Genomic DNA, 22998 nt, shown 5'->3' on the forward strand with positions numbered 1-22998 from the left:
TGACTCTAAATTTCCTCTTCTTATAAGGACACAGGTCAGATTGGATTAGGGATATCCTAATGATCTCATTTTAACTCTCCTCTCTTTAAAGGCCCTATCTCCAAACATAGTCAAGTTCTGACATACTGAGGTTTAGGGCTTTAACATAGGAATTTATGAGGGAACAGTACAGCTTGTAACAGTTAGAAAACATTTTTGTTCCCTTGACCAGTCAATAAAAGCAACATCCCACATGGTTGTCTTCTATAACTAAATTATTTTATCATAAATATTTCCACCACCAACAATGTAACCTATTAACTACATCATATAGGCAGATATTGGTAAAAAAAAAAAAAAAGTGTCTTTTCATAACATTCTAATATTCTACTCCTGATTTGAAAGACCAAATAATATATCGTACACAAATTATGAGGCCCCAACCTACAACCTCCACGACATAATGATTCCAACCAATATAATGTTAGCTGTGTTGTTGACTCTGCTGCAGGGGATATAAAATGCAATTAAACTAATAACTAATACTGATTATTCAAAATATGTATCAAACTCACTAACAAATTGTAACTGGCATTTTTAGAAGGCTATAGCAACAAAGAGGTTAACGTGTCTTTTGGTTATAGCAGATAAATTTGAAATTTTCAAACACTATAAATTTTCCAGGTGGTTGCCACCTGGAAATTAAGTGTTCTAAGTGCTCACAGTAGGTGAATAAAAGATAAACATTTGGTATTTAGTAAGACATTTATCATAAAATGATGGAAACGCATGAGAAACTGGAAACCAGGAGACGTATTTGAGCAGACAAATATTAGGGTCAAATCAAGGAATTGCTAGCTAAAAACATATAAACAGAGTCTTAGAAGCAGAAAGCATAGTATTAAATGGAAAGGATTTAAAAATCAAATATATCAGTGAATGCTCTTAATGGTAAAATATGGAAACAGAGAAATATGGCAAAAATTAAAAATGAGTTAACATTGAATCCACTCTGATAATACACTGAATATTGATCTCTTCTAGAAGCTTAAATCTATTCACAGCTGTCCCAGGAATAATCCCTGGTCTAGAGCAGCAGTTCCTAAAGTATAAGAATTCCTGGAAAACGTATGAATTTATCCTTAAATAAAGAGTAGAATACACAAATTTAGGTGAGGTTCCCAGCAAAAAGCACCAAAGGGAAGGTGACATTTACTTTTAAGTTTCTTGATGAAGGAGAAAACTAGACAACATTCTTGCCACAGCTGCCACTTCCCATGGATTTAACTTAGGCAAAAGCCACCATGCAGCTCTGCATTGAGATGCTGAAGGCTATATAGAGATATGACAAATGAGAGAAAAGATATCCAAAGAAGGGGAGCCAAGCAGGATTTTTTCAAGTAAACAAAATTTGGAAGGAGAGGTTAAGGGTGTAGGAATCAAAAGTCCCATTTTGTGGCATAATATGATTCTGACACCTTTTTGAGATGCTATGGAAATAGCAAAAGCTGTTGTCTATAGAAGTGTGGATCTTAGAAGGAAAGTCTGGGATATAAATTTGTAAGTCTTTAACATAATGGTGGTATTATGGGAATTGAAAACATCACCTAAAGAGAAGATCTAGGGAGAAAAGAAGAGAAGGGTTCACCATTAGGCTAGTGAAAAGCACTTTTAAAAAAGCAATGCATAGACACTGCACAGAGGAAGAGGAGAAAGTAAAGGAAATTGACCATAGGAGGGAAGAGCCAGCTGGGGAAGAGCTAGATGGGAGTGAGACAGATTGGGTTTCACTAAGACACAGACACTACACCTGAACCAAGAGTAAGACAAGAGCACAGTTTCTGACACAGTGTAATCACTCAATAAAGGCTTGTTAAGTTAGTGATTGGATGAATGAGTTACAGACTGAACTAGCACGGTATTTCTAGAATTAAGAGTTGACTAGGAAAGGATGGAAATACATGGTGGAATTATAACTCTAAAAAGGTCAGACCAAGGTGATGTTGTAAACTTACCTTAGTTTTATTTTAATATACTCACCAACAAAAAAAAGTAAGTTTTGTCATATTTTTTACTCTTTAATAAAATTTAATAATGAAATAGATTATTGGGAAGTAATCAATAAAACCTTTATAGATTAATTTTAACTGCTTAGACAAGGAAAAATGTATTGAACCTTAGAAGTCCAAAAAGAGAGAAATATTACAATGGTATACAGAAATACAATAATGACTAAAAATATTTCCACTGAAATGCAACAGAAAAGTTGTAAGCCATTATATCTTAGAAAAGAAGCAGTCCTAATGAAGTAGATTTTTGAAAATTGTCATACAGGTAAGCTCATTAGTTGCAATGAAAGTTCTCCCTGCTGATCTAGGAGTACTTAATGACCAGGATTTGTTATGCCTCAAAAACAAAGGTACTTTTTAATTCATGTGATAGCTCACTGAGGAGGTTTCAAATCTGGAAACTTTTAAATGATGATATATAACACGTGTATAAGAGCATTAAAATACTCCAAAGCAAACACACTTACCTCATTCAAAATATTACATTTTCTCCTCAAATCTCATTAATAAAGTAATATAATAATAAAAAAGTTATGCTTAACAATCACCTATACTATAAAAAGTACTTCAGTGATGGCTTTTCTATGTTAAAGATGAAGTTGGCTGCTCCCTGTGAAACATACTAACGGTGTCTGCTGACCCATACACAGACACTAGACTCCACTCTTAACAGATGGAAACTAAAAAGTCCCAAAACCCCAGAACGCCCTGCTGAAACACAAAAACAACAAAAAGAAAAATACCCAGAAGAACCAAACCAAGTTACAGTTCTGCAAGTCCTTATCAAAGGTAAATATTTTTAAAGAACAAATTATAATATCAATAAAGAATTTTAAGTATGAGTCAACATAAATATTTCAAAAACTTCATTTACAGCAAAACCTGCTAAACAATAAATTCTACAATAAAAAATACATCTACTCAACCATGTTTTTCCCCAGGAAAAAAACTCCCGGTGTATTTCAAGGCACTTTGTACCTACCATGTTTTCATCCACTACTCCGTTATCTATCAAACTGATTAATGTCCATCAAGAATACTCATTTCCAATTTTTTTTTATCCCATTTGGTCAAAAAATCCAAAATATCAGAATTCTCTCTTTAGGAGAGTTGATTTCCCTGAGGTAAAAGTTATTTTGAATATCACTGAGTGATTCTGAATGTTTACAACCCATTCAGTTCAATGCCCTTTTGCCCTATCTCAGGTGATTTAACACAAGAAAATAATTTCAATTATTTTCCCTTCTTGAATCCTATTAAAACATCTATAACTATATATATGGGAAGATTCTTCTTATAGCAAGGACATTTTCAGGTTGCAGAGGGGTAAAGTGAGTAATTCAATAATTCATTGGAACACTAGGATTTATTAGTGAAAATTTAAGTAAAAGGCTTATTTTTTGTCTTACAAATCAAGACAGGCCATATGAAATATTTACTTCAAGGAAACATACATCTCAGAACAAAGTTTCAAAGAACATCTCATCCAATCACATGCTTCTTTGTCAATAAAGTTCTATAATCCTCATTTTATAGAAGAAGAACAATTTAAAGGGAGCAGGAAAAGATAAAATTAATTTTTTTTAAAGAAGAAATATTCACTCTAATATGGAAAACAATAAAATATCCTTCAAGTTGATGAATTCCAATATTAAAAAGAAAATAAAGAGGTTATAAAGACAATTTCATATTACTAATGACTAGTAGTCAACAAAAAAAGAATACAGATATTCCAGCATTCCAGATGAGTTGTTTTCCAAAATGTATTCATAAATTGGTTGTTTGACACCAAGTAAAGTTGAAAGAATCAATGTGAAATATAAATGAAAATTGAGGCCGGGCGCGGTGGCTCATGCCTGTAATCCCAGCACTTTGGGAGGCTGAGGCAGGCGGATCAGGAGGTCAGGAGATCGAGACTATCCTGGCTAACATGGTGAAACCCCGTCTCTACTAAAAATATAATAAATTATCCAGGCATGGAGGCGGGTGCCTGTAGTCCCAGCTACTCAGGAGGCTGAGGCAGGAGAATGGCATGAACCTGGGAGGCGGAGCTTGCAGTGAGCCAAGATCACGCCACTGCACTCCAGCCTGGGCAACAGAGCGAGACTCCATCTCAAAAAAAGGAAAAAAAAGAAAAAGAAAAAGAAAATTGAATTATTAAGGTAGTCAAAAAATTATATTTAAATCATATTATAACCAAGTATTAATAATAGCTCTATCCGTTCTATGACCCTTTATGACCTGATCTAAGCCCACAATTGAGACTAGAATCAGGTTAGAAATTTGGGCATTAGGAAAGAGTGAAATGAAACTCTGGCAGTATGGTGTCTTCTATAACAAAAAAAGAGAGCACCAACAAGTTGGGCAGAGATAGATTTGGTACTCAGGTAAGTAGGGAGGGACACTGATTGCTGGTTCTGGTATCAGGTATGTAATAGGCTATCAGTGCCTATGAATGACATTGAATCAAGAGAGCATCACCCTGGCCAAAAAGTGCAGGAGATTTAGCAGTAGAAGGTAGGGCTAGCAGGTATCTACAAGGTTTAAACTGTAAAACAAAGTATTTTATAATATAAGGCCTCATCATCTAACTAAACAAATTAAACTCATAGCTCCAATCATGACAACTCATAATATCCTACAACTCTCTTTATTTTTAAAATGAGATATTGGGTATGAAAACACTGTGAGAAAGTGGAAAGTACATACAAATAAAAGGTATAATTTTCAGTCTTTTAGCACTGAAGATCAGAGCCATGAAATGTTTCTTAAAAAGGCACAAACCTTTACTAGCTTTGTCTAAAGGTTCCAAATCATCCACAAAATTCAGTATATCAGGGTACTTCTCTTCACATATTTCTACCAGGAAATGAAGTAGCGTTGTTTTCTGATCTGCTGATTTTGTGTCCTTTAGCTAAATAGAACAGGAGGGAGAAAAAACACAGAGTCATAAGTATGTTGATATTCTGTCTACTTAAATAATATTAATACTGTATTTTGTAGATAAGGACTAAAAGTTGTAAAATTAGTTGATTTCGTTTTTGAAAAACAAATATTTAAATACTCGAAAAACTACTTTTGACTTGCTGCTTGGTGAAAATCATTATTTGTCGCAAAAAAGGAATAAGTTTAATCGAGCATGCAATGTTTTATAGAAAAAAATATGGAAAATGCCTAGGAAAACAGAGTAACCTATGAGTCTATTTAATAGTAGTATTTAAACATCCTTGGCATTCATCCATTTATCACTTGGCACATATCCATAGAATGCCTACTAGCTACTGTAGTAGTTGGAGACCTAACAACAAATAAAACATAGACTTTCCTCAAGAAGCTGTTTAGTTAAAAAATATACGTATTTGCCTTGGTGTGACAAATAGTATAGTAAAAATAATCACAACTTTCATTTAGGAGGACATGACAATGGAACTGAGACTTCAAAGACAGGAAGTTGTATGGGCTTAGGGAAAAGAAAGAAAAAATACAAAAGTGCATTAACACAGGCTCATGGAGCAGCATTTACAAGGGCTATAGATGAGGAAGGATATGACACCTCTGAGGCAGCTGAGTGACTCCAGAATTAAAGTGTATCTGTATTAGGGAAGGCATGTAGGGACATGGCAAAGATATAAATCTGAAAAGACCAAAAAATAAAAGGAAAGATAATGGCATGCAATGGAAGTAGGATTTTGATTTTGAAGCAATATAAGTTTTCCAACTAGATGAGAGATGATCAGATATACATTTTAGAAAGCTCCCTCCAGTGAGTGTGGCTAAAAAGATTAGGGCAAGAGTACTAAGAGAAGCATGAAGAGTGAGTTAAAAACCCATGGCAATAATCAGGCAGGGAAAGAGGGCAGTCTGAATGGAGGTTGTGCCTGGGAAATGGGGACAATGAGACCATGTGGGTGTGGAAACCCAGGTGATGCTGTTAACTACCATGTCAGAAATGATGAGAAACAGATTTGTGTGAGGTGGCCAAAGAAGAAAATTGTTTTGGACAAGGTAAATTTGAAGCTTTTCAGTAGTACCCAGGTGGAAATGTCTTGAAAGAATATACATTTATCTATCTATGTATAGAACAGTGCTTTCATTATTTTTTTTCATGATTGCCCCCTAAGAAGTTTTTAGGCATTTTTTTCCTAACTGCACCTATAAAATTTTAAAATCACAAAGGTGATGCATTTATGTTTATATACTGTATGCATATCTGTGTTTTACACCTAAAAACTGGTTAAACAAGTAAGACATTTTTGCTCTCCAAGAACCAACTTTTTATCCCTGAAAGATACCTATTGAAAATACATGGTTAAACCTCAGAGGAATAAACTGGGGCACCAACTTGTGACCCCTTTCCTCCCAAAGCTAATTAGTTGATCAAATTAACATAAACAGGTATGTAGAATGAATGAAAAGAGGTTACGGGCTTGAGACGACCAGGGTGGACCAATCCTAATCTGAAATGGCCAAGGAGTGCAATCACAGGGAGAGGTAGTTAAGCTAAAACTTCAACAATGATAAAAGTTAGCTTGGGTTTTGTGTAGTGTTGGGATAGAAAGTATTGGCAAGGAGGAGTGGTATGAACACAGGACTAATAGGTAATCTGGTAGCATTCCCTACCATTAAGTAATCATTTAGAGCAGAGATACAAATAAAGGGTTAAAAAAAAAATCAGTCTTTTCTACCAGAATTTAATTTACAGCTGGAAATTCAAGGCATACCTAATTGGGCACAGTACTACTTACTTGCTTCCTTTCCAAGAATTTCCAACTTTAAAATTGGCTCCTAAATAAATTCCCATAAGTAATATTTTAAAAAATCCAACCTCACTAAATATTCTATCACTATCAGAAAAATACCAAATAACTGTTAAAGTCCAGTAGTGGAAGAATGGGAGATTTCCGTACCATCAGACATATTAACATACTGACTACTTATTGATTCAAAAACTATCATAGAGCCGGGAACAGTGAGCTACCCACCTAGACAGCTTTACTTTCACATCATGACACATGTAATAGGTTCAAATGCTATGCTGACCTACACAACATGCAACTTATACAGTGGTTCCCAGTACTTTAAAAACAGACTGAATATGAACACTTAGTCCATGATTTGGTACCTTGTTTAAAAGAAATACAGATTTCACAACATAGAGCTGAGTGTTTTACAAGAGGATGCCTCAAAAACATGACTCCATTGACTACCTAGACAAATAGTCACTAACATACGTGGATGATTTGGCAATGTTAAAACATGTCCTTGACTAATTAATAGTCTTGAGCACATTACTGGACCTTAGCTTTCACACAGGTAAAATAAGAAAATGAAACAACATAGAAACTCTAAATTCACTTTTTACTCTAAAAATGTTAAGTATACATTATAGTGGAACTAAGAGTTAGTAGACACAGTACAATTTAATTTTTAAAAACTGGAAGAGTGGAGAAATGTAGTAATAATCTCATTTCAGAGTTATTTCTGTGTGTTTGGGTCAGTTGGAATCATTCTATGGGCTTCTGTTTTTACATATAGACTCATGAATGTCAAATACAATCTTTAAGTTTCGTTACAATCCTATAATTTCATTCATACTATCATCTTAAATAGGTAAGGCCAGATTAAAAGCAGCAAACTTTTACAAACAGTTTTCTCTTTGCACAGCCACCAAAAGTTAACATGAAAGTTGTATTCTGTTTTGTTAAAAAGCACCCTAGTAGCAAAGATCCTTTATCTCACCCACCCTCATTTACAGCAATGACTACTTGGGGAACACTGTTCCTACTCTGAATTCTCGGCAACCCATTTTTACTAGTCTACACCCTTGTAGACTGTTTGGAACGTTAAGACAATCACCATCTACCTTCACAATTTGTAAAGCCTAGAAAGAGTATTCCAATAGTATCTGTGATATAGCTAAACAGCCAGCAACTGCTAGGATTAACGTATCAAGAAATCTCAATGACGGAAGAACAACCAACTGGATTGCTCTTGGTCTTTATTTGTAAGCAATGAGAATTCAGAATTTAGAATCATGGAAAACAATGTAGTTTGTAGCAACTTAGTTTAATAAATGTTAAATACTCAAGTCAAACACAGATTCGAGTTATTCAGAGACCATTATAAAGCTAAACACTGATTTAGGAGGAGGGTGCTACCATGGGTTGTCTTGTTGAAAACATCAACTGAGTAGCAAGCAGCATAATGGGAACAATCTAGTATTAAAAAGTACACTCACTGAATAGTAAAGGGAAGCACAATATTCCTATCATTTCAAAATGGGTATTTAACAATTGAAAGACACCACTCAAACTTTCATGTAAATAAATTTGAAACTAAGCCTAATAAATAAGAGGTTCAGAAAAGAAGCATGTTGTTGATCATGCATGGTGTCTCATTTATAAACTACTATGCAGCTCTAAACTCCAGGGCAGAGATTCTTCATTTATGCTCTAACATTCTCTAGAAAAATTTCACAATGCTGCCAAGATACTCTTCCTGCCTCAACTACTCTATTCTCTCCCTCCCCTCTCTCTAACCATCTTTTAAAAAGTCTTCCAAAAGCATCAAAGCATAAAATGTATTAGGTCCTTATCCATTTGCTCAATATTTTTTTCATTTCATTAATGAAAATTACCAACTAAAAAGGCACATTCTACTCCTACTCATATCATACTCACTCATATCATAATCAGTTTCTGAGCTAGAACAAGTAAAGCTTGGAATACAGTGTTAATTTTGTTGAAGATGAGTAACAACTTATGTAAACTTTGTAACGCTAAATCTTGGAAAGAAAATAAAATATTTGCTTTAAAAATATCTTCAGGTTAAAAGTATGCTTTATTTAAACTTTAACAGTCAGTGCTTGACAGGATTTCTTTTGTATTACTGTCAAGAGATTTATCTTACTGATGAGTAATCATCACCGTTAAACAGAATTTCCTATTTATGTATTGTTTCTTTAAGGTACATTTAACGTGGCATAAATGTCAAATAAACAAAAGATGGATGGAGTTTCTCCAACCACTCTGTTCATTCCAGACAAAATAATGTTAAAAGTGGATCCTGTAATAAATCATGGCCTAGTTGTCAGTCTGCAGTAAAACTCCCTTGCAGTTACAGTGCAAGGTTTGGGGATATTTTTGAGGTATTCAGCACAAATCTGGATGACATTTAAAGAATATTCCATTTATTTAGTCACATGGTAATAATTTAAATTTAAACCCTAAAATAAAAACTAAGCATCTTCGTGATCTTCAGAAGTCAAGGAACTGGAATCCCTTCCTGTTTGAAATAATGAAACTTACATCTTAAGAATATTATCACATTAATAACTCTACTCCGCATCATTATGTTCCTATAATCTAGGTATGTATCAAAGCAGCATTGAATATTTAGATGTTTAGATGCTGTGGACATTAGTGAACACCAGAAACAAGACAAAATTCTGAAAAATCTTGTAATGGCACCATTACCATTTTAGAAGAATACAACCTGTGAATAATATTAATGCTGAGGATGACAGTAGCATCCTCAGCATTAATGTTTGGTACTTACCATGAGACAGACATTAGCCAAATAATATAACACATGTTAAGTGCTTAAAACATTACAACCCCAAACTAGTATTATATCCATTATTTAAAAAGGAAAATGGAAATTTAGAGAGATCATATAGCTTACACTGGATCACATGGAGCCAATGATTGGAACACATGTCTGTGTGAATACAAAGCTCTTATCCACTATAAAATATAGTTCCTTTACAGCAATCTTTAGTCTAGCTTATTATTAACAAAATAAACCAAATTCTCAAAAAATGGCAGTAAAACAACAAAAGAGCACTAATGCAATGTAAAATACTAGCACCCTTTAACCTGTTAATTCTAGCCTGGAAAGCATCTAAAAACAGACACCACACTCCCTTGAGGTCATTTCTAGTTCTAAGAGCACAACATTCTATTGTTTTATCTGTAAAATAAATAAAATGCCATCTGAATCTTATCAATCAAATAGCAACTCTTTATATATTTCTAATGGATTACTGCTGACAAAATATCATATGATTGAAGAAAAAGGTATCTATAAAGTTTAACCTTCAATGGATTTATACCACTATATTTTAATAGCATCATATCCCATCTCAAATCTTTTGCAGAATAAAGTGGATTGTGTATGCATAAAATAGCATCCCTAAAAATAAAGGTATCTACGTGAAAATGAATGTATGAAGACATACTAACAAAGACTATAACACAATTGCTCAGACAGAAAGCTCAAAAAGTCAATGTGGTAGTACAAATTCACTAATAAAACCAACCACCATTATAGAATGGATTTTGTTTTCTGGTATGTACGTGTGCTTGTGTGTGTGCCTGGTGTGTGTTTGTGTGTGTATTTGAGATGGGCTCTTGCTTTATTTACATATATATTTATTTATTTATATATATAAATATTTTTAAATATATATTTTAAATAATCATTGTGCTAACAAAATTTTTCAAAACAAAACTGAGTATCACTCCAATACAAATGGCAATGAAAATCTTGAAGTAAATAAAACAAGATGGTTGAGGCAGGAGAACTGCATGAGCCTGGGAGTTCAAGACTGCAGTGAGCTATATAATCTCTCCACTGCGCTCCGGCATAGATGACAGAGTGAGACCTGGCTCTTAAAAAAAACAACAAAACAAAACAAGCCTAAGGTGCTTATGCCACTGCCATAACCACAACCATTAATATTAAAATATAACTTTCTTAATAATTCTAAAGATAGAAACCAATTGATATTATATAAATTAGATACTAAGGCATATAAATACTAAATTACTTATGGCACCCATATATAAAAACAATTTATATTAATTACTTAATATTCATTTTAAAATGATAATGAAAATTAAAACATTAAGTGACCAAGAAAGTGCATTAAATAATGTGGACTTCCGTAATTATAATATGCTACCATATCCCCACACACTTTCTCTGAATTATATTTTTAACACATTTCTCTTGAATTACAGTGAGTGTAGAAACTTCTATATAGAAAGCATTTGTGCATTTTAGTAAAAGTTTAGCATACTACATTATCTACTGCGTTGCACTGTTCTGTTCATACTGCCCCCTTTTTCCTGCAAAAGATATAAAACAGCTCAATGTTCCTTACAAAAAAGGACTATTTTCAGTTCTTTTAGTACTGAGAGATCAGAAAACAGACATTCATAACAGGCAAATGGGAAAAAGTACTAGAATAAACAATCTGCAAGGGAACAAATATGATTAGAATACAAATATATTTTTTAAATGCTAAACTCGGATGATCAAAGACATAAAAAAGATACAAGATACTGCTTCAGCAACTATATCAGCACTCTCCACCTAACAAAAACACTCTCACCAAGAACAAGAAGTCATGGCAGGGTCGCAGTGAGACTGGCACTTTCATAGTGCCAGTCTATGAAAGCCACTGCAGGCATGCGCAAATCAGTAAAACCTCCAGGAAAATGATTTAGTAACATACGTCAAAAATTTTAAAAATATTCTTGTTTGGAGTAGTTTCAGAAAACTCACTGGAGTCCAACATTGTCCAGCCAAAGCTATGTAACTAAACTGCTATTTTAGAGCACGGATTTCTTAATCTAATAATAAGAATTTCTCATGGGAACAATTAACAAAAATTGGAGTAAGTGCTTAGAAAGTGAACATGTTTAGATTGTTTATACAAATGGACCAAATACATTAATTTTAAAGGTTTTTTAACCCTTATTAATAATTAACTTTATATTTTAGACTTTATATTTTAGAGCAATTTTAGCTTTACAGGAAAAACTAACAGAAAACAGAGTTCCTGTATACCCTTCCCTACACACACACAAATTATCCTGTTGTAAACATTTTACATTAGTGTGGTACATTTGTGACAAGTAATGTACCAGTATTGACACGTTATTGTTAACTAGTTTCCACGTTAAGGTTCTTTCTTTGTGTTCTGCAGTTCTATGTGTCTTGATAAACTCAGTGTTATTCATCCATCACTACAATGTTATACAGAATAGTTTTACCACCCTAAAAAATTCTGTGTCTCACCTATTCATTCCTTCCTTCTTCCCTCTCCTCAGAACCCCTGGCAACCACTGATGTTTTATTGTCTCTAGACTTTTGCCACTTACAGAACATCACATAGTTGGAATCATACAGTAGATAGCCCTTCCAGTCTGGTTTCTATCACTTAGCAATACGAATTTAATGTTCTTCCATGTCTTCCATTGGCTTAAAGAGATCATTTATTTTTAATATTGAATAATATTCCAAATGAATATACCACAGTTTATCCATTCACCTATTGAAGGACATATTGCTTGCTTCCAAGTTCAGGTAATTATTAATAAAATGGCTGTAAACATTTGTATGCAGGTTTTTGTGTGGACTTAAGTTTTCAATTCATTTGGGTAAACACTTAGGAGTGTGATTACTGGATGGTTTGTTCTACGTGTAGCTTTGTAATTGCCAGTTATCCAAAGTTGATGTGCCACATTTTGCTTTCCCACTAGCAATGAATGAAGGTTGTACTATATACTTACCAGCACTTGGTGCTGTCAGTGTTTAGTATTTTAGCAATGCCAGTACATATGCAGTGGTGTCTTATTGTTTGAGTTTGCAATTCCTTAATGACATCTGCTGCTGACTATTATAGGGACAGAAAAATTACAACTCCATCCTCTTAGGGTCCTTGCTGGTCTGATAATTTAATTTGACATGAGAGAGATTAACAGGAGAAACGTGTAATGCAAGTTTTCCGTAGCACAAAGGCCATCAAAGGAATGAAGACTGAAAGAAATAGAGTCAGTTACCCATATACCGGATTGTGAAAAGAACAGTTGTTAAGGAGCAACTACATTAGGTGGGAAATTACTTTTAACAAGGCCTCTAAAAAATTCTCTTTGTTTCGACTTTTTGTTGTTGACGATTAAGGATGTTGCATCTTTCCAGTACGGAAAGGCCATCTTTTGCATGAAAATGTTAACTTCTGCTTTTAAGAAATAGCAAGGAGGTCAAAGCAATCTTTCTACACCTGCTGTTTTTCAAGTATCTTTAAATAGTCAATATACCAGAATAGCATATTTTAATCCCTTCAATATCTTTTCATACATTTACCTGACACCTATACGTTTTGATGGGTATCTCTTCACATCTTTTGATCATTTCTTTAAACTGGGTTGTTTATTTCTTAGTTTTAAGAGTTTTTGTACATTTTAGATAAAAGTCCTTTATCAGGTATGTGTTTTGGAAAGATTTTCTTCCAGCCTGTTTTCTTTTCATTGTCTTAACTGTTTGCCACAGAAGTTTTAAATTTTAATAAAGTTCAATTTATCAATTTTCTTTCATAGATTATACTTTTAGTGTTATATCTAAAACGTCATAATAAAACCAAAGGTCACATAGATTTTCTCTTATCTTCTATAAAATGTATAGTCTTGCAATTTATATTTAGGTCCATGATAAATTTTTAGTTAATTTTTGTGAAAGATATTAGGTCTGGCAACTTTTTTTTTTTTTAAATGTAGATGTTCTCGTACCTTTTCTTTAAAAGAAAGACTATTCTTTCACTATTGAATTACCTTTGTTCCTTTGTCAAAATCAACTGACTATATTTATACGAATCTATTTCTGGGGTCTCTATTCCAGTCCATTATTTTAAAATTATTTTTATTTTTTTTCCCTTTGGCCAATACCACAATATTTTCCTTATTGCAGCTTTATACTAAGTCTGGAAGTCAGGGAGTGTCAGATTTCCAACTTAGTTCTTCTTCTTCAGTATTGTGTTAGCTATTCTGGGTCTTTTGCCTCCCCATACAAACTTTGAAATCATTTTGTCAATATCCATAAAATAACTTGCTGGAACTCTCACTGGGGCTCTATTGAACCCATAGATCAAGTTGGGAAGAAACGACACCTTAATAGTACTGAGACATGCTTTCTATGAACATGAAATGTCTATTACTTTATTAGATCTTCTTTGATTTTTTTCAAAGTTTTGTAGGTGTTTTTTTTTTTTTTTTAAATTTGAGATGGAGTTTCACTCTTGTTGCTTAGGCTAGAGTGCAATGGCACGATCTCGGCTCACCACAACCTCCGCTTCCCAGGTTCAAGCGACTCTCCTGTCTCAGCCTCCCTAGTAGCTGGGATTACAAGCATGTGCCACCACGCCTGGCTAATTTTGTATTTTTAGTAGAGACGGGGTTTCTCCATGTTGGTCAAGCTGGTCTTGAACTCCCGACCTCAGGTGATCTGCCCGCCTCAGCCTCCCAAAGTGCTTGGATTACAGGCATGAGCCACCACGCCTGGCCTTGTAGTTTTCCTCATACAGATCTTATATGTATTTTGTTAGATTAATACCTATGTATGGTTTTTGTTACTAAGAAAATGATACACTATTTTAAATTTCCAATTCCAATTGTTCATTGCTGGCATACAGGAAACCACTGGCTTTTTAAATTAGGTGACCTCATAATCTAAAACTTTGATATAATTGCTTAACAGTTCCAGGAGGTTTATTTTTTGTCCATTTTTTTTGGGGGGGGGGGTGGCGGGCATTCTACACAGACAATCATTTCATCTATGAAGAAAGAGTTTTGTTTATTCTGCCCCAATCTTTATAGCTTTTATTTTTCTTGTCTTACTGTACTAGCCAGGACTTCCAACACAATGTTCAAGAGGAGTAGTGAGAGAAGACACACCTGCATTGCTTCCAGTTTTAGGGAAAAAGCATCTTGTTCCTTACCATTAAGTATGATGCTAGCTGTCGATTTTATGTAGATGTTCTTTATCAACTTGAGGAAGTTCCCCTCTACCCCTATTTGGTGAGAATTTTTCTCATTAATGAATGTTACATTTTTTCAAATGCATTTTCTGCATCTATTGGTGAGTTTTCTTCTTTAGCTCATTGATGATGATAGATTACATTAATGGATTTTCAAATGTCGCACCCAGCCAGGATGCATAGAATTAAAAATTATTCCCTCTCCTTCTATTTACTTGAACAGATTTAGAGAATTGAAATTATTTCTTCCTTACATGTTTGATAGAATTTACTGGTGAAACCATCTGAGCCTTGTTCTTTCTGTTTTTGAAGGTTATTCATTATTGATTCAAGTATTTTAATAGATTCAGATTATCCATTTCCTCTAGTGTGACTTTTGGTAGATGGCATCTATCAAGGTCCATTTCATCTAGGTTATCACATTTGTAGGCTTGGTTGTGTTAATAATATTCTTCCGTTATCTTTTTAACATCCATAGGATCAGTAACGATAGTCCCTCTTTCGTTTTTGATATGGGCAATTTGTATCTTCTCTCTTTTTCTCTTGGTTAGCTTGGCTATTGATCTTTTTAAAGACTCAATCAGATATTGGTGGGTTTGATTTTCTCTATTAATTTTCTGTATCAATTTCATTGATATCTGCTCTAGTATATATTAGTTCTTTGTCTTACCTACTCCAGAGTCCATTTGCTCTTCTTTTTCTTGTTTCCTAAGGTTAAAGATTATTCTTTTTAGATCTTTCTTATTTTCTAATATAGGCACTTGATGCTATAAATTTCCCTGTGAGCACTGCTTTTATTGCATCGAACAAAACTTTATAAGTTGTATTTTCATTTTGCTGTTTCATATAAGTGGATCAAACAGAATAATTTTAAATGAGATGGTTTTGTTTTTTTAAAAAAATACAGAAACTTCTGAACTTTACATTAAAGGACTTAACAAAACACACGCCTGGTATATCTCAGGTGATATTTTTCAGTTTGTTCTGGTGGTGGTGGATTCTGTACCTCCCAATGCTGGAACCATAGTTCAAAGCCACTTATGACACATTTCTTCATCATCCTCTCCCCTGTCCCCCAAGAACAAATGTTCATAAGTACCAATGGCTAAGTATTACTATGTGGATAATAATGTTGCATGTTTTGTCTCTGATTCCAAAAATGTAGAAACAATGCAGACCCTTGATAAAGGAGAGGTAAGACACTTCTTAGAGTATCAGGAATGGAGTGTCTTGTTTCTGGTTTTTATTTTTCATTTATAAAATATATAAAAGTGAAGTCTGAATTAAACCAGGGATGGTAATATTCACCTTCGGTGCTATCTCTGATGGGGTAGTTGTCTATAAGCCTGACGCCGAGGAGGATTCAGAGGCTGGGTGTTTGGGGGAAAGGGTAGTTTGATAGAGAAGCTATGCTTGCTATGAGAGCAGGAAGATGAAGGCACACAAGCAGCCTATTTGCTGAGCCTGAGCAAAGTCACTCCATCTTTTATAATTCTATTAGAAGAATCATTCTCATTTACAACATTTAACAGCAATTGAATAACAAAGGTGACATGAAAATAATTTACCAAAAACGCTATTTAGAAAAGCCAATTAAATATTTCTTAGAAAATGTCATAGATTAAATGTGTTAATGAATGAGTCAAAGGGGGTTAAGCATTCTAAATAGTTTCACATTGCTTTGGAAATCAGTATTTCTGTGATTTAACTGGCTGCATGTAAAATAAGAATGGCATTTGTTATTTGCAAGTCTTTGGCCCATAACTGCTTTACTTTCAAAGGTTGCCAAAATTTACTGGTATAATTTTGCCAACCTAATAAAGAATAAAAATCCCTCTCAAAATACCCTGAATGCAAATGGAACAATGGATTTGTTCGGCAGAGATCTTTCTTAAAAATAAATTCATAGAGTAAAGGAAAAAGTGATACATAGGGATCAAAACTTCACAAAAACGACTCACAGTGTTAACTTGTGTGAGTGTGACAGGTATGCAAAATACAAACTGCCTGAAATAGGCAAAGGTATCCTGTCTCATGCTTTTGTAGTCACTGAAACTCTACCTGTACAAGCTAGAGACTTGTAAAATGGCTCGAGAAACAGGCCTTCAACTTATTTCAGTTCCACTATGTGCCTGAAATTCACACTCCTTTTCAAAGTTTTCATTTTCAGAGTAATGTTTAGCTTGGCATGAGAGGAAAAGCAGCAATTTTTGAAAATATTTTCACCACTTTTTCTTTTTTTTTTTTTTTTTTCACTCTTTTTACCCAGGCTGGAGTGCAGTGGCATGATCTCGGCTCACTGCAACCTCCGCCTCCCGGGTTCAAGCGATTCTCCTGCCTCAGCCTCACGAATAGAGTAGCTGGGATTACAGGCGCCTGCCACTATGCCCAGATAAGTTTTGTAGTTTTAGTAGAGACAGGGTTTCTCTATGTTGGCCAGGCTGGTCTCAAACTCCTGACCTCAGGTGATAGGCCCGCCTCAGCCTCGCAAAGTGCTGGGATTACAGGCATGAGCCACTGCGCCTGGCCTCACCACTCATTCTTAAGTGAAGAAGTAAAGTTGTTTCGTTTTTGTCGTGGCTTTGGTGTTGGTTAATTTTCATTTTTTCATGTTTGCTTTTGGTTCCAGATCACCAGTCAGGGATTTTCCATTCTGGGATATGAAAGTAGGGCAGAAGACCAAGCGATTCACATTTCAAGTTGAGTATGAAAATCACCTAGGAAGTAGCTTTAAAAATGCCACCAATCAGGATCCACATCCATTCTTTCTAAGTTAATTGAACTGGTGTGGGGACTGCGGCATCAGTATTTCTTAAAGGGTACTCCAGGTTGCTAATCAATGTCATCCAAAAGCCATTTGTCACAATTTTGGAAAGTGTCTCATTAGGGTTGGTGGAAACATTAAAGAATATGAGAATTTAATGTTTGTTGCTGTTTCTATTGTTTTAATTATCTCCATCACAGCTCTGATGAAGTTATTCTACTTTTTCTACTTTTTGCTTATAAAAGGAATATCCAGAATCAGATAAAAAATTCATGCATTAGAAAAGAGAATTTAGGAAAAATTAATTTTGCCTGCCACCCCCTCACCGTCTTAGCACCTACTCCTCAACGCCCATAGCCCCATTACCATGTATTCATCAATGACTTCAACTCTGAGACGAACTCATTAGATATTCTACTGCCATAGAAAACAGAAGGCTTCCTACAAAGTGACAGTATGGATAAATTTAAAGTGGGATCAATAGTTATTTGTTTCTGCAATTTTCCCAAAGAATAACAGCATAAATACCAATAAAAATTAGTTATTACACGTGGTAAAACTCCTTCAAAACTTATATCTATTACCCCAATATAGGAAGTCAGTTGATTCAATCAATCACCTGGAACAAAGAGCTGCATCATCCTGTTGTATTGATCAGAATGATCTGTTACTCAGAAATTATACATCTTATTAGACATTAGTAAACATTATTAAACACATGTTATGGTTATTATATGTGGATTAGTAACATCTTCTTAAATTTACAAGTCAAAATTATCTCATATATTTTAATATGGTGTTGAACTTTGATGGTTGGGTCAATTCACTCTTTACCTAAAATCCTTTGAAAAAAATGAACTTGGCCCTATCAACGTGTCTCTTGGAGAAACATCTTTGATACTAACCAGATACAAACTTTTCTAGGTCAGCATTTTGGTCAGATAAGCATCTACCATCTGCCGATTTAATTTCTAAAGATATGTTTTCCACTTAATCAACAGCAGTCTCCCCACTCTCAAAATTAATATGATGTCAAAATGATATCCATTTTTTATCTGAAGTTCAGTACTACATTTGGAGGATTTTTTAATGACAAGCAGTCCTCCATTATTTCTGCAAGGTTTATCCTTTTAAAAAGTCAAGCCATCAGAAAGCAAGGTACTTACACCATTTTAACTAAACTAGAAGTAGCATTACTGTGACTGAAACGTACATTTTTTTTCACATCATAAGGGTTCGCATGGGGTGCCAGGTCCTTAAGAGGCCCAGAATACATATTTTGGGGGAGAGGGGAAGAGAGGAGGAGAAAGAGAGATTGTTCTAAAAAAAAAATCCTGACGAAACTGACTCATTTGTTGTTTATAACACTATTCAACACGTTTTCCTTTTGTAAAGATACATATGCAAAATTTCTTATGAAGGTTTAATCAGGGAAAACACTATTTTTGCTCATGAAGTGAAGTTTGCACATCACTTTGACCACCAAAAAGTCAAGCACCTATATAGCAACTTTAATTTTTATTTAGATCTTAATCATAAATTCAGTTATGTTTACCTTATATGTCATATTTTACTTTTTTGTCATATGTCACATGAAATCTTTGGGATATAAGAAAGCAAATCCTTTTCTCTCGAATCCAGAGATATTATAGTTACTCATTGCCATCCTGACTACAAATGTCTACAAAGCTATGATACAGCTCCCCAAACTAAACTATAATGGGCATGAAACTCAAGTATTCATGCTCTTATTTCTAAACAATGCAAAGTTAATTTAATATGAATTTTCATGAATTTTTCATACTTGAGTTAAATTCGTAAAGGGCATTTAAAAGTAAGGATTTTGGATATAAAATGTTAAATGTCATATAATTACCCAGCATGTTTTAACAGATTAAAATACTTCCTTGTCTTTCTACTGTCAAATATATATGGAATTCCTTGTGTAGAAGCTTATCATCAAACCAAATGCTTTATACTCAGTGTGAAAATTCAATCACAATTGTCAAAGATCAAGCTGCTACTTCTGATAACAAATATGATGAGATATCATCTTGTTCAATATATGCTTTCAACTTGACATGTAGGCTAATAAAAAACATGAAGTTGTAGTATTTATTTTGTTTCTTCCACAACAGAAGGCTCCTAAGAGGGATGATCAAAATACTCAGTATCATTGCAAGAAAATAAAGTCAACTCTTTATCTGCAGACAGATTAACTGGTTTGCCGACTAACTGTAGTAAAAGAATAACAGCTACATTGCATTTGTAAAAGATTTAAAAATTACTATGCATCAGTGATTGTATCTCAATGAGAGGATGTCTATTTATTTTCAACAACAAAATAAACATAAGACACTACTTTTTGTCTTATGACAAGTTTCATTCATTCAACAGCTATTTATTGAGTACTTACTATATACCAACCACTGCAGTAGGCTATCCTACCTCATTAATCACACCTAGTCTCCCTGTCAACAGCTCTCCTTAGAGGAAGGCATAAGGACATGAGGAAGAGCATGCAGCCAGTTTTTTTGTGTCAACTATAATTCTGAGATGTAAAACCTAAAGAGGATCACAGACACTTTTGCACGAGGAAACAGACTGTAGTACATGTGTGGCTGTGGATTAACTTTCCCCTATCTTGCCCCTCACCCTGTTTTTCTTACTTTGCCTTCCTTCTCAGGGAAAGCCTGAATCTGCCATTCTTGCTTGCCTCCTTCTCCTTCAGCTTCCAAGTTCATAACCAGCACACCTTGACAACTCCTCAGATGTCCCTGAATTTGTGTACTTCCCTACATCCCCACTACATTCTACCTCAAACCCTTCTGCCGTTACCTTAGCTTGGAACTCCATCATCTCAAAACACAGTGATAGCTACTTAGTGGACACTCAAACCTTTGCTAAATAATTGAATAAGGTAGCTTCAATCATATGCCCTTTAAGATACTGAGGTAAACAAGAGTAGAATAACAACAAAAAACCCCTGATCTCATTCTCTTTTGAGCAACCACTTCAAACATGCCAGTAGCAATATCTCCCATTAGTTGCCTAAGGTAGATACTTAGGAATTATTTTTGACCTTTCTCTCTTCTCTGCCACCCCCATACCATCTTTCCTATTACCTTCTCAGTTTGGTTTCCTCTGTTGCTCTCTTAGGTCTCACACTACATGTCAACCAAACACCAAATACCTCCTCAATGTAACCCTCTAACCCAGCGCTGTCCAATAACTTTATGCAATGATGGTAATGTGCCATATATATGCTGCCAACGGGTATGGACACTGAGCACTTGGCATGTGGCGAGTGTGACTGAGGAACTATGTTTTTAATTTTATTTAAATTTCAACTAATTTGAATTAAGTAGCCATATATGTTTCATGGCAACAGTACTAAACAGTGCAGCTTAACCTTCTTCCATACTGCTGATAGACATATCTTGCTACGAAACATCTGATCATATTACTTGCCTTACAGAGTGTGACTCCATAAAATCTCCATCATTAGGCAGGATATTCAAAGCTCTTTACAATCTAGACCAATTTATCACCTCAGTCTCATTAGCCCCACTCCTTTCCCATCTAGTTTGCAAAGGTAGTAGGCCACTCACTGTACTCACACATGCCATGCTATAACCCTTTTGGAAGCTGCTGACTCCTGCTTAGAACGCCTTTTCCTCTCACAGAACATCTGCTCATCCTTCAAGATCCAGCTTAAATTCCCATTTCTCTCTGAATATCTAACTGCCCTCTCATAGCTGAGCTAGGCTCTCTGTCTTAACTCTGCTGCCATAACTTTTAGTATGTGGCTTCATTAAAGCATTTCATCATAATTAATGGTTTACATGTGGAAAATATGAGTCTCATGTATGCCAGGTAAATATTAATCACATACATTAAAGATAGAATCTAAAGATAGAATCTGGCAAAGCATCTGGCACAGGACTTCACTCTGAGTAAGCCCACGAGAGATGTGCCAAGTCTTCAGGATGTGTTTTAGGAATTGCATCGCCCATGCTAGGGATCTTCACCAAATACAGCTGCCTAAGAAAACAGAGAGGAAAATAAAAGAATGGAGATGGGGCAAAGGAAACACTCACAAGGCATTGATAGCAATGAGAGGCTTAGGCCAGGGAAATTGTATAAGAAAATTCATGAAAGCCCCAATAGAATAAGCATGCAGTAAACCTATAGGTAAAGCAGAACTTGTTTTTCACCTTCCCTAACTAGCTGGCAATAGCAATAATCAAATTCCTTAATCAGGGAGTGTGGTTGTTACGAGGTCAAGAACAAGAAAAAGGTTTTCTTCTGATGTGTAACTGAGAAGAATTTGTTGTAAGCAGATCAATAAAGCCCTATTACTATGGCCCACTCCTCAGGAAAGAGCTCTGTTTTATAAAACATTGAATATATTTGCTGTAAGGAAATTCAACCTATGAAAGACACAGGAGAAAAAAAAGGCTCTAAACTTACTCCATTTTCATGTCCTCTAGAATTATATTTAGATAGAAACACTTCAAAATCAATAATATCCGAGTTGCATATATTTCCAATATAATAATTTCCCCTTTATATAAAGGGGTCCCATTTTTCTCTCCTTTCAGTCTGCTTATGAAAGCAATGCAGAGAAATATTTAAATAGTTAAAGGTAAAAATGTTAATGGCAATCCTAAGCAATATTCAATATATATACAGGTATCTGAACTGAGTAAGTACGAGTCAGTATTAATAATATTTTGACGTTCCATTTCATTGGTTTGAGAAAGCATAGGTTTATGATATAATTTTGTTATTAAATAAAATCCTTGAATTGGATTTGCAGATTGAAGAAAATTAATATTTGGATTTAGTTCAGAGGTTGAGTAAATTAGCTCAGTTCACTCTGGGTTTGAGTTCATGGTTCAGTTCAAGTTCTTGATAATGAGCACATCAAAATAAAAAAATATTTAAATAATGCAATCAGGGCTGACATTTAAGAGCAAGTGTTCAGGCAAATATGTGTTTTTAAAAAAACAAACTCACTTTACAGAGAGAGCTAAGGTTAAATCCGAAGGTTTGAGCATTCCGGGAGCCAGCATTCATGTAGTTTCCCATTAGCAATACAAGTTCCAGCAACTTGCTAAAGCTTTTGCTCTTCTTTATCTCTTCGCAGGCAGTACTGACAGCCATGATGTCAGGTTTGATGTTGTTCACCTGCTCTTCAAACTGAAGCTTAAAGAGAATAGCACTGAGCCGTGGCCGTAGTCTCTTCACATTGCTCATCTGATTGAAAAGAAAACAGCAGATTTCCTTTAAAATGCATGGTATAGTTTAGTACTGTACGACTGCAAGTAATCTGGGATGATTTATTGGTATGACAGTACCAA

General features: G+C 34.7%; 1 protein-coding gene across 15 annotated transcripts in view; it reads right to left on the bottom strand.

Moving 5' to 3' along the window:
• The window catches only part of DIAPH3 (diaphanous related formin 3), a 498346-nt gene that overhangs the window by 190992 nt on the left and 284356 nt on the right, over positions 1-22998 (bottom strand). For 13 of the 15 annotated variants that reach the window (XR_002957478.1, XR_002957480.1, XR_941672.1 and 10 more), the window contains 2 exons: positions 22655-22894; positions 4833-4962 (listed from right to left, as the gene is read on the bottom strand). Coding sequence is in view for 10 of the 15 variants with exons in the window: in NM_001258368.2 (NP_001245297.1) it covers positions 4833-4962; positions 22655-22894 (370 nt within the window). In the remaining 5 variants the exon portion in view is untranslated. Of the gene's footprint in view, positions 1-4682; positions 4963-22654; positions 22895-22998 lie in introns of those variants that run through there. The other 2 variants (NM_001258370.2, XR_001749694.2) reach the window with 2 other exon arrangements.

Source organism: Homo sapiens, chromosome 13 (genome assembly GCF_000001405.40).
Source record: "Homo sapiens chromosome 13, GRCh38.p14 Primary Assembly".
Taxonomy (NCBI): domain Eukaryota; kingdom Metazoa; phylum Chordata; class Mammalia; order Primates; family Hominidae; genus Homo; species Homo sapiens.